Source organism: Homo sapiens, chromosome 2, assembly GCF_000001405.40.
Source record: "Homo sapiens chromosome 2, GRCh38.p14 Primary Assembly".
Classification (NCBI taxonomy): domain Eukaryota; kingdom Metazoa; phylum Chordata; class Mammalia; order Primates; family Hominidae; genus Homo; species Homo sapiens.
This window is the reverse complement of record NC_000002.12, coordinates 78,526,699-78,539,982: the sequence shown is the minus strand read 5'-3', so window position 1 is coordinate 78,539,982 and position 13,284 is coordinate 78,526,699. Positions and strand designations below refer to the sequence as shown.

The following is a 13,284-nucleotide window of genomic DNA, read 5'->3' as shown; positions in this document are numbered from 1 at the left end:
CACTCATTTTTTTCAATTATTCTATATTCTAACTGTTCATACCCGTAACTGGTTGCATTTACTCCAGATGTGCACATCCTCTCTTCTCTCTCCCCATGCAGACACCTCCTTAGGTTTTGGGTTGCTGGTTGTTATGGTACCTCAGCTTCTTTTTGTTAGATTAAAAAAAAGTCATAATTTGAATTTAATCCAGCTCTTTGTCTAGGTCTTCATGGCTGTGAAGATGGGAGTAATGCTTCTTCCAACCTGGGATGGAAGGTAGAATTCCCTTGCAAGTTAAAATTTTAAAAATAATTTACCAGTTAATGTTTTTAAAAGTGAATTAGTCTCATTCATCTTATTTTGCCTTATTTTAGAATTTTTTTTTTTAATTGAGACAGAATCTTGCTCTGTTGCCCAGGCTGGAGTGCAGTGGCACCATCTCAGCTCACTGAAACCTCTGCTTCCTGGGTTCAAGCGATTCTCCCACCTTAGTCTCCCAAATAGGTGAGACTACAGGTGTGCACCACCACGCCAGGCTAATTTTTGTATTTTTAGTAAAGACAGGGTTTCGCCATGTTGGCCAGGCTAGTCTCGAGCTCCTGACCTCAGGTGATTTGCCCGCCTCAAGAAAAATGTTTTGAGAGAATCATAGGTTCATGTAGAGTTGTAATAAATAATAAGATTCTGCATACCCTTCACCGGGTTTTTTCTGTGGTAATATTTTACATAAGCATAGCGAAATCAGCAAATTAATATGGATAAAAGGCACCAACATTATTTAGAATCCACAGTTTTACAAGCACTGATTTGTGTAATTCATGTGCTTGTGTGCACATATCTGTATGTGCATATATTTATTTCTATTCAATTTTATCGGATGTGAAGATTCACGTGACAACCACAGTCAAGATACAGAACAGATAGTTTCATTTCAGGGATCTTTCCTGCTATACTTTTACAGAAACATCCATCTTCCTTCCATCATTTCCTTCTCCAGTTCATAATCCCTGGAAATATCATATCTCTTCCTTTTCTCTCTAATTTTGTAACTTCAAAAATGTTCTATAAATCGAACAGGTATATCTAACCTTATGATTGGAGATTTTTACTCAGTAGAATTATCTTTATACACAAGTTGGTCTGTTTCTTCTTATTGCTAATTAGTGTGTATTCTGTGGTGTGATTGTACCACATTTTGTTTAACCATTTACCTGGTGGACATTTGAGTTGCTTCCATTTTGGAGCTATTATGAATAAAGTGACTATGGGCATTAGTTATATACAGTTTTTTGTGTAAACATCAGTTTTTCTGTCTCTGATACAAATGTGAAGGAGTACAGTTCTGGGTTGTGTGGTAAGCGCATGCTTAGTTTGTAAGAAACTGACATACTCTTTTCTAGAGTGCCTATGTGATTTTGTATTTCCATTAGCAAATGTGAGTAATGCAGTTCCCCTACATCTTCATCAGCATTTGGTGTTATCATATTTTGTTTATTTGTTAATTTTTAATTTAGTCATGCTGATATGTACATAGTGATATCTCATTTGGCTATTGATTTGCATTCCCTGAGGCTAATGATGTTGAACATCTTTTCATGTTGTCATCTGTTTATACTTCTTAGTGAAATGTCTGCTGCTTCTGCATAATTTTAAATTAGATTATGTTTTTATTGCTGAGTTTTGAACTTCATATATTCTAAATCAAGTGCTTTCTTGCTAGTGTAATTTGCAAATGTTTTCTCTGTCTATAGCTTATTTTTCATCTTCACAGAATCTTTTGAAGAATTAAAAGTGTTAATCTTAATTGTGATTATTACATTTTCCTTTTTTGAATCATGCTTTTGGTGTTAAGTCTAATACATCTTTTCTAAATCTAAGCTACAAAGATTTTCTCTTTTTTTTCCTAAAAAGTTTATAACTTTACATTTCACTTTTAAGCCCATGATCTATTTTGAGTTATTTTTTATTTTTTTTTTTTTTGAGATGGGAGTCTTGCTCTGTCGCCCAGGCTGGAGTGCAATGGCGCGATCTCCGCTCACTGCAAGCTCCGCCTCCTGGGTTCACGCCATTCTCCTGCCTCAGCCTCCGGAGTAGCTGGGACCACAGGCGCTTGCCACTGCGCCCGGCTAATTTTTTGTATTTTTAGTAGAGACAGGGTTTCACTGGGTTAGCCAGGGTGGTCTCAAATTCCTGACCTCGTGATCCACCTGGCTCGGCCTCCCAAAGTGCAGAGATTACAGTGGTGAGCCACCAGGCCCGGCCTTGAGTTAATTTTTACACGAAGTGTGAGGTTTTTAGGTTGAGGCTCTTTCTTTTACTTCCCATAATTTTTCAATTGCTCCAGCACCATTTGTTGAAAAAAACAGTCCTTTCTATATTTAATTGTTGCTTTTCTTTTTCAAAATTTGTTTGACCATATTTATGTGGTTCTATTTCTGGGCTTTTTATTCTGTTCTATTGATTTATGTTCCTTTTTCTCCACCAATAAAGCATTATATTGATTACATAGTTATATAGTAAGCCTTAACATTGAATTGTATGAGTCCTCTACTTTACTTTGGTCTTCATTAAAATTATTGTAGTTATTATACAGCCGTTTTGCCTTTCCATATATATTTCAGAATAAACTTGTCTGTGTCTATTTATAAAACCTTGCTGGGATTTTTATAGGATTTGCTTTGACTCTGTAGATCGATTTGGAGAGAATTGACATTTTTGCTATGTTGAACCTTCTAATTCATGAACATAATATGATTCCACATTAAATTGTCTTCTTAAATTTCTTTAATCAGTGCTTTTAAATTTTTAAATAAAGATTCTGTACATATTTTGTTGCTTATATATGAGTCATTTTTTGGAATACTTGAAAATGATACAGTGTTTTCAATTTTGGCTTTTGCACATTTATTGTTGGTGTAGAGAAATTTAATTGAATTTTGTGTGTTAATATTATATTCTGTGACTTCTATGAATTTACTTATTACTTTTGGAACTGTTCTTTATAGATTCTTGGAATTTTCTATGTAAGCAGTCACATAATCTGTTAATAGGGACAATTTTGTTTCTTCCTTTCCAATTGGCCCTGTCCCTCTTTCCCTCTTCCCATCCCTCCCTCCCTCCCTCTTTCCCTCCCTCCCACCCTCTCTCCCTTCCTTCCTTCTTTCCTTCCTTCCTTCCTTCCTTTCTCTTCTCTTTTCTTTCTTCCCAATTGAGAAGCCTAGAACTTCCAAGAGTGACGACAGAAGACATCTTTGTTTTGTTTATGATTTTTGAAGGAAAACATGCAGTCTTTCCATTAAGTGTGTTAACCATCAGAATTTTTAGAGATGCTTTTTATCATATTGTAGAAATTACCCTGTATTTTTATTTTTTTGAGAGTTTTTTTCATGGGTAGGTGTTGGATTTAGTCAATGTTCTTTGGTATTTATCCTGTTTATAGAACAACAAGCACAGCCAGCTATCTTAAAGTCAAAAAAATATATATTTTCATCGGTGTGAAAAAACTCTCTGTCTCATGTCTTTTGACCTTGTTTCTTGATTTGGTAAAGAGATACATAAAGGAATTTAGAAAATCCTTTCTCAAGGCAGTAGCCCATCTTACGAGACTCTAGTCTTGCTGCAAAATTCTATGTTAAATGTCTGAAACTAAACATTTATTCTTTATTTTTCATTGTATTCATTTGTAATGATCATTTTTTAATCCTTCAGGTTAATGCCTTGAGTCAAATAGGCAGAAGGTCCTACACTAAGAAAAAAGAGAAAAACATGTTCATATTTTCCAGATATCAACCTTTTCACATTCAAATAGTTGCTTGAAGGAGCTTAAATTTTGAGGCTTTAAGGTCATGAGAGACTACATTGATTTAGGATCTTTCTTAGGGTGCTTTCATATCTGGTTTTCAACCAGAAACTGAAGAAAATTGATTCATTGACCTCCTTTGTGTCCTACTCTCTGTCTCTGCCTCCTTCCCATCACAATCCTGAATTCAGTTGAACAAAAGAAACCCCAAATATAAAAACCTCGAATTATTTCTAGAAATATTTTGTGGTTGTAGTGATAGGAAAAAGCAAGGTTTTCTAAATAAACATTTTTGCCTTCATTTTCAGTGAACTCTTTTAGAAAATTTGCCTGCAATTTAGAAAAAGCCAATATATTAGTTTTTAAAAAGTAATTTTCCTATTGGGTAGATGCATTTTACAAGTATTATCTGTGACTAAAATTAATTCATAAATATTTTTAGTTACTAAAGTAAGAAAAATACTATGGCATTTTCAATTTTGAATATTTACTTTTTTCTCTACTCTTTCTAGAAGGAATTATAGTACAGTAATCAATGACTGAACAATGGAAATACATCTGAGAAATGCCTCACTGGGTGATTTTGTCATTGTGCAAACATTATAGAGTGTACTTACACAAACCTAGATAGTAGAGCCTACTATACACCTAGGTTTATGGTGTAGCCTGTTGCTTCTAGGTTACAAACCAGTATAACATGCTGCTGTACTGAATACTGTAGGCAATTGTAGATAATGGTAAGTATTTCTGTATCTAAATATGTCTAAACATAGAAAAGGTACAGTAAAAATATGGTACAAAAGAAAAATATTTTGTACATAAAAATAAACCTGTATAGGCCACTTACCAGGAATGGAGCTTACAGGACTGGAAGTTGTTCTGGGCAAGTCAGTGAATAAGTGGTGAGTGAATGTCAAGGCTTAGGACATTACTGTACACTACTGTAGACTTTATAAACACTGTATAATTAGGCTACATTGTTTATTTCAAAGTTTTTCTTCAGTAATATGTTAACCTTAGCTTACTGTAACTTTTTACTTTATATACTTTTTCTTTTTAAAACTTGTTTATTCTTCTGTAATAACAGCTAGCTTGAAACATAAGTGTAATGTACAGCTCTAAAAAATGTTTTCTTTTTTTATATCGTTATTCTATATATTTTGTTTGGGATTTTTTTTTTTTTTTTTTACTTTGCACACTTTTTTTGTTACAAACTAAGGCACAAGCCCACACATTAGCCTAGGCCTACACAGGGTCAGGATCATCAATATCACTGTCTTCCACCTGCACATCCTGTCCCACTGGAAGGTCCTCAGGGGCAATAATGCATGAATCGGTTATCTCCTGTGATAACGATTCCTTCTTCTGGAATACCTTTTGAAGGTTCTGCCTAAGGCTGTTTTACAGTTAATTTTTTTAATAGGTAGAAAAAGTATACTCTAAAATAGTAATATAAAGTATAATATAGTAAACACATAAACCAGTAACATAATTGTTTATCATTATCAAATATTATGTACTGTACATAATTATATCTGCTATAAAGTCAAACACCAGATAATGGCATTTTGGTCTACAATGAACCATGTGTACAATGACAGTGGTCCCATAAGATTATAATGGATCTTAATCATTTCTATTGTCTATTGATGTTATAATGTCACAACACACTTTATTTTTTAAATTAATTTAGTGTATCCTAGGTGTACAGTGTTGGTAAAGTGTACAGTATCATAAAGTAATGTCCTAGGCCTTCACATTTACTCAGCACTCACTCACTGACTCACTTAGAGCAACTTCTAGTCATTGAAGCTCCATTCCTGATAAGTGCCCTATACAGGTGGACTGTATTTTTATACCATATTTTTACATATAATTTCTATGTTTAGATACACAAATATTTATAATTATGTTACATTTACCTATAGCATTCATTACAGTAAAATGCTGTACAGGTTTGTAGCCTAGGAGTAACAGGCTATATCGTATAGCTTAGGTGTGTAGTATACTTTACCATCGAGGTTTGTGTAATTACACTCTATAATGTTTGCACAATGCCAGTCACCTACCATGATGTATTTCTCAGAACATATCCCGTTATTAATTGATTATACTTTTATACATCATTAATGATACTTTTATGCAAGTGGCAGTGCATTAGGTTTGTTTACACCAGCAGCACCACAAACATGAGTCATGTGTTGCACGATGACATTACCATAGCTGTAATGTCACTAAGCTCTACTACAATGTTAAGGGACAACCATTGTATATGCAATCCATTGATGACCAAAACCACATTTTGTGGCATATGATTGTACTTAAGTTAAAGAAGGAATCTATTATCTAATTCTGAGAAGAAATTACAAAAACGTATAATGTTAGTAATTGAAAAGATAATAGAGATTATCTAGTTCAGGGATAAGCAAGTTACAGCCTGTGGATTAAAATCTTTTTTGCCTATAAAGGTTTATTGGAACACAGATACACTTACTCATTTACATATTACCTATGTTTGCTTTCATGCCACAGAGGCAGAGTGTAATCGTTGAGACAAGGATTATATGGCTCACAAAACCAAAAATGTTTACTTTCCGGCTCTTTATATAAAATGTTGGCTGCCTTGGGTTTAGTTTAGCCTTTTATTTTTGTAGATAAAAATTGGCCCTAAAAGACAGATTTTCGAATCACAGAACCATTGCATTACTGAGCTTAAAATAAAGTGCAAGATAATTTGTATTTGTATCTTTTTTTTGTAGACTAATTTACAATACTTGATTTTTGTGTGTCAGATGGAGACAGATAGATAGATATATACACTACTTGAACTTTGGTTTATAGTGAATGCTCCACTCAAACTCCCCTTCAGAAAAGGACTTATTTCCCCAACTACTGGAAGCTTTGCCAGAAGAAAAGCTTAATTAGTTAGAAACCTACAGGAATTCAGTTGAAAAGAGCTGCCTCATTGACCAAGATCACACCTGCTTCGCAGGTGGTCAGCCAGAAGTGGGTATAAAAGTCTGTCCCCATGAACTCAACTCAGGGCAACATTGAAGGGATTTTTCTGCTATACATCTCCTCATGGATGGGCTAAAGAGCTTTCATTGTGGCTCAATTTCTCTCAGGACCTAACTTTTTGATTCCTTTCTTTCTTACTCTGTCCTTCCACGGGTATTGATCCCAAGAACATTTTCTAATAAGCCTCCTGCTGGCTGCTTCCCAGGGAGCACATCCTGGATAAACTACCATTAACAAAATAAAGACTAAGAGCACTTCCAATTCAGCGTCTGAGGATCAACTCTCAAATCGTTAATTCAACAGCGCCTAGTTAGTAAAGATACACTACCTTTCATAAATGTCAGCTTTTCCTGTTTCTTTGTTGAAAGGTTTCATTAGTTGTTGGTGGAGCTCATTTTCTGATGTGAGCTAATGGTACAATTATTGGAGCTAATTCCTTCAGAAGATAAATTCTAGAATGCTGCAAATTGTGGAAAATCTTTCTACCTTTTATACTGGTAAACAAGAGAGACATCTTGGCCCCTTTTAACCACCATGTTGCTAACAGCACAGTGATTAATGAAAACTGAGAACAGATCATTGTAATGGTGGAGGAAGGAGCTCAATAACGTCCCCACTGCCCACCAGCTTGCAGTTTATCCTTTGTGTCTTTTTTTTTCAGTCTTTTCTATTTTAAGCCTTTAACCATACAGAGAGAGGAAAAAAAAAGGTGATTAGCTTAAATTTGATTTAAATTATGGTTTTACTTAGATACTAATGATTACTGATTCAACTTAAGTGAGAATTAAAGGGTTTAAACTACTGAAGTGTGCAATAATAATGGAAAGTCTGCTTGAGGAAAAAAATACAGGTTATTGTTTTTATTTCTGCTATCTTCTGACATTTTTAGTGGCTTATGCCAACTGAATGGCTTTACAAAGTGAAACTAAACAAATAAAAGTGAATGGGGATATAGAGAGAAATGCTTAAGTATCCCTGTCAAAGACAGAATGATGAACTATTATAAATATTTGGCATGTTCTGTAAATATGTGGCACTCAATCAAAAGCCATTTAAACCTTGAAAGGACAAGAAACATAATGAAACTGAATGAGACTATTTCAGTTTTACCTGTTTTCTTAGAATGCTTTATTGTGTTGTTTTCTTTTTCAGGTATGGATTTTTAACTTCCAAATTCACATTGAAGCATTAGCTTTTAAATGTGTAATCAAAATGCATGCTGCTGACACACACACACAAAGGATTAATAGTATTTAGATTTCTGTCCTTGCTCATACAGTTTACACTGAAAGCTTCCTGGTAAATCATTGCCCTTTCATACTATCCCAAATAAGTGGAAATTCACTGCAATTTACTGATTGAATTGACATTATGACTCTGAAATACATAAGCAACAATCTGAGAAAACTAACACTGTTATGAAATGCACAGGCCGACTAATGCAATGAAACCTCCAGTTTGTGGTACTATTTGTTAGTATTTTTTAAAAGCAAACAAAATTTTAATAAAATATGTCCATTAAAAACAGAAAGGCAAACTCAGAAACTGCTGAGATTTTGTTTAGAGAAAGGTGGTCTTGTTTGAAGATTGTTATTTCAGCTGACCAGGTTGATATTTCTATGTATGTTTGTATATATTTAAATGGATGGCATTTCAGGGCAAATCTCAGAATTTAGCAATGATAACTGCTACTAGATGATTATACTAACATTATTACAATAGCTAATGCAGAAACAACAGATCATCCAATTTCAGGCAGGAGTGACTGAGAAAATGATAAATATTAGTATGCTCACATTTCATTTAAAAATATAAATCTATTTGTTTATTAGACCGATGACAAGCTACCTTAAGATCCTTAACCTAATTTTATATTCTAGCACCCAATTTATTTTTAAATGCAACTGTCCAGTTTCTCCAAAGCAAAAGAGTGAGAAAAAGCAAAAGGCTTCCAGGGCAGTGTTTCTCAAAGTATAGTTTCTATGGAATACCTGCATCAGTGCTTCTGGGTGATTGGCTACACTTCAACTCCTGAATGGGAAGCTTTGGGGATAAGGCTTGGAAGGTAAATTTCCTGGAGGATTAGCCTCTTTAGAATTACCTGTCCCCAATATTATGTCCTGAAGCCTGGTATAAATGACAGTGGAGCTAGAGGGATTTTTGGCTCTAATTCAGACTGTGATTTCTAAATGCTAGAGTGTAGCCTCCAGATGTACTCGAAACAGTCCATGTGCAGGAAGTATTGTGCGAGCTGCTGAAGTACCCAAACACTCATCACTGCTGTCACTTCAGGGGGGCAAGTGTGATCATGCCTTGCCCAGTCTTAAGTGATAAGAGGCTACAATACCTGGAGAAGGGATAATTGGATGCTTTTTAATTTTATCTGTGGCCGTCAGTAATTTCCAATTTATCTGGCTTATGGTGGATGCTCAGCATGTTTTGCATTGAATGGGATGAATTCATTTTAGTCCCTGCTTAGCCACAGACACAATTAGCAACAGACTTCACTTCTCTGAACTTCATTTTCCTCATCTGTAGAATGAGATTGATAATAATATCTTTCCTTGGAGGTTGTTTTACGGGGAAATAAAATAATAGGCATGAACTTTCTCTGGAAATGAAAAACCTTCAAGTGATATTAACAGTGAAAGATTTGAAATGTGTGTATGTATTTCACTTATTTTCTCATATGTTCATATAGAAATATTTTACTAGTAAAAAAAGCAGTGCCAGTTTTCTCATTCACATAGTTTTAGTTAATAAAGTAGATAATCTTGATTGGAGAAATATATTTTTATAAGATACAAACTCTTTTTTAAATGTATAGCCTGTAAATACTAAATTTTTTACATATTTTTCTAGTTTTTCATGCAAAAAGATGTATGCAGATAGTGAAGTGGTAAGATACTCCTGTACATTTGGGATACTGCTAACCTCTCCATATTTAACTGCATTTATTCTTCTGTATATTAACTAAACTACTATCAAATTCTAACCTCTTCTCTGAGCTTAAAAAGAAAGATAAAATTTACTACATGACTTCTCACTAGAGTGTCTTTTATAAATCTCAGACTTATACAGAAAGTTAAAAAAAAATCAATTCTAGCTCTCTTCCTTTCATACACAAATACATAATCCTCCCCCATTCTTCCCATTGGCTGAGTAATATACCATTCATTATACGGATGTATGAGACTTTGCTTTTCTATTTACCTGATGAAAAATGTTTGATTTGTTTGTAGTATTTAGCAAAAAACACCATAAGCATTTAAATAAGTATTTTATGTGTATGTGTGTGAGAACATTAGTTATTTTTTCTTGAAGAAAAGAAAGAGGCACTGAAACTCTCCCTGGGGCTTTGGGAGAAGGCATCAATAGCGTCCTCAGCACTGTCTGAATTCTGACCATGTGCATGTATTAATTTTTTGATTAAAAAAAGTTTACATTGGCCAATAACAAGTCAACCTTATGGCCTAGAAAGTTTCTTTCTCCCCAGTATTATCACATTTTTTTCGCTCTTTCTATATATCCCATTCTTCAATTTGTTTCTTAAATGTTGAAGAAATCCTTTACACAAGTTCTTCATTCCATTTGGAAACTTTTCCTCTGCTCCCATTTTTTCTCTTTTGCGTGGCTTATTCTTACACACCTTTCACATCTCAGTTTTGATATCATTACTTTTAGGTAACTCTCCTTCTTTGATCCTTTAGGGCAGGTTAAGATCCTTGCTCATACACTCTCATGACAGCTGCAGCATTTTCTTTGCAGCAATAATGTGTTATTTAGGAAAGTTCCTGTTATAAGTGGGAAAAACCTACTCAATAAGAAAAGAGGAAAACTAAATGTCCTCTGCAGTAGAAAAGTCCAAGTTTGGATACTGATTCGGAAACAGCTGCCTTCAGAAACAGGTTTCCAGTGCTGACTTGCCTTCTGTTCTGTTGCCCTCATTTTCAGGTGTCACATGGTAGTCTCCAGCAGTCCTAGGTTCCCATTGTCCACAGTGAGAATCCACTGGTAAAGGAGCATTCTTCTCTTCATACATGCAGTGAATGTCTAATTGGTTCTAATTGGGTCATATGCTCACCTCAAATTAATCAGTGGAATTAGGGGATGAAATGCTGTGGGAAGGCCATCTACAAATATGTAGGACCTACTTCAGCAGTAGAAAGGAGGCTTGCCTTCAAAGCAAGACCAGGGACAGAAAGTCCATCTTTTGAACTGAGTAAAGGGGCATTCCTATAACTGATCCAGGGAATGTTAAGACTAGGCTTAGAACCAAAATGTTATTTAGTAAACCCTCTCATTTAGCAAGGTAGACAGTATTCAGTAATTGTAGCAGGGCAATCGTAGGAGAAAACAGGAACTATAAAATCATAAAGACTTTATATTCTAAGAAATCTTTTTAAAGAATCAACAATTATAATTTAGGAGAAGCAAACTGACCCTGGAATAAGGACCCTACGTATCCACAGAGGCTGAAACACTCAGAAACCTTTTTATTGCAAAATAAAAGCAAATATACCTTACACAACACATTCATTCTATCAGAACTTAATAAACTGTTAATGTAGTTCAATTATTTGTTCCATTGTAAATGACAAGTAGCAAACTCAATATTCCCAGAAAAAAAAATAAAGAAGCCTAATAATTTAATTCTTGAGAAAGGAATTTGTAGATATCTACAACTAAATACAGGCTTGAGAAGGATAAGGAGATTTTTAGACAAGCTTGCCCTGTCAAACCTTTGTGCACCTTATTAAGTTGAAAATAGGGGACTGAAGTTAATGTTTTATGGAAATTTCAAGATAACTTTGAAAGAAAACATTAAGCAAAGAATAAAAATGCATATAATTCTTAAATAACCTTAAGTATTTTACCTGCATTACATGCATTGATTAATAATAATAATTATTAATTATTAAATAGTTATCAGTGACTACTAATTATTTGCACATCATTGCCTGCAGTAGCCGCACAAAAACAACTCATCTTGAGGAAGCATACTTAAGTATTTCAAATAACCAGGTGAACAAGAATTCAGATATTGGTCTGATGAGCCCTCATAATAATGTCAGTGTGGTTCCCTTATTTCAATCTTAAACTGACCAAGTGATTCCTAATATGTGTTCACATGAGTGTATTCGCATGATTTTGGCAAAAAAATCAAGATGCCCAAAGAGTTTGGTGTGTCTGGAGCCATCCCTGTGCATCCTGTTATCAGTGTGTTGAGCTTCTCAGTGTGTGAGAAGTGAACATGTCTGAAGTAGACTCTATGTCCATAATAATTTGTGTCCAAAGATACCTGTGGTTTTGGAATGATCCATTTGTCTGGCATACTCACGTTTTTCAAATTATTAAGTTTGTTAGTCATAACTACATATTTGCAGAGGCAAATCTGTCTTGGTTATTTGTATGTACAGAGTGACACATTTGCCTGGACTAGTTTTGTTGTTAGCCATACTGTTGAAATTATCACCACTCCCAACATCTTCAAAAGCTTGAATTCAGGCCTGTTCTTCTAGCTAATAATTCTACACAAGACACATGTGGTGGTAGGTATTTCTGGGAATCAGGTCTTCAATGCTACAGCATGATCTCTGGCTCAGATACTCAATCTATTAGAAGCAATCCAGCCCCAAAAGATGGAGAGTCCATTACCAGCTGTCACCCTACTTGCCACAATTCTGATGCACACACCCAATATTCCCATAGGAAGGACAACCATTAAGTCTGCCCTTGAGCAGACTCTCACCTTCTTTAGCATCTTATCCTCTCATCATAGCACTGTTACCTAAGACTGAGGGCTTCTAAACAGGTATGACCCCAATAATTATCTTCTTACCTCTTTATCAACAAATAGGGTTCTATGAGGCTTTAGATAGCTTATACAGCAGGAGCACAGACACCAGTGTTAGAGAGTATGCACTTCAGCAGTCTTTGCCCCTCAAACGCTATGTGACCTCTAGCCAACCGTTACACCTCTAAATTTTGGAAATGATGATGTCAATAATACTTAAAAAATAAGGTTGTTGCAAAGATTTAATTAGTCTCTGATCACAAAGTAAAATTCCTGGAATAGAGTAAGGATAAAAATAAGTAGTAATTATGATCTTAGTCATATTTCCCTAATTTTCAGTTCTGTGATTTTTTATGTAATTGATAGTAGCTTATGTCTCCATTGATTGACTAGACTATTGTGGTAGGCAGAATTCTAAGATGACCTAGAAAATTTTTCCCCCTGGTCTGTTGCCTCATGTAATCCTGTTGGTTTGTGTGTGAGTGGGATTTAAGAATATGGTGGGATTTTATTTCCATTATTATTGTTATATTGTGATATAATAAGAAATATATATTTGGTTTTTATCCCTGTCTCCTGGTGCAGAATTCATAAAGCTCTTATAATTTTCTGAGTTGTGGAGGTGAGGGAAACATCTTTTGTTATTTATAATATTACCTTTCAACCATGCCTGAGTTTATGCCAATGA

At 34.6% G+C, this 13,284-nt stretch overlaps 1 long non-coding RNA gene across 1 annotated transcript in view, besides 1 other annotated feature; it reads left to right on the top strand.

Annotated features, from left to right (window-relative positions):
• LOC124906027 (uncharacterized) overlaps positions 1–13,284 on the top strand; it is a 126,610-nt gene that overhangs the window by 1,908 nt on the left and 111,418 nt on the right. The window lies entirely within an intron of this gene.
• Positions 6,538–7,217: an enhancer, noted in NCBI's record as "OCT4-NANOG hESC enhancer chr2:78759892-78760571 (GRCh37/hg19 assembly coordinates)". NCBI's record gives its function as "activates a minimal SCP1, AML or CMV promoter by ChIP-STARR-seq in naive H9 embryonic stem cells {active_cell/tissue: H9 hESC(naive)}" and the evidence as "EXISTENCE:reporter gene assay evidence [ECO:0000049][PMID:30033119]".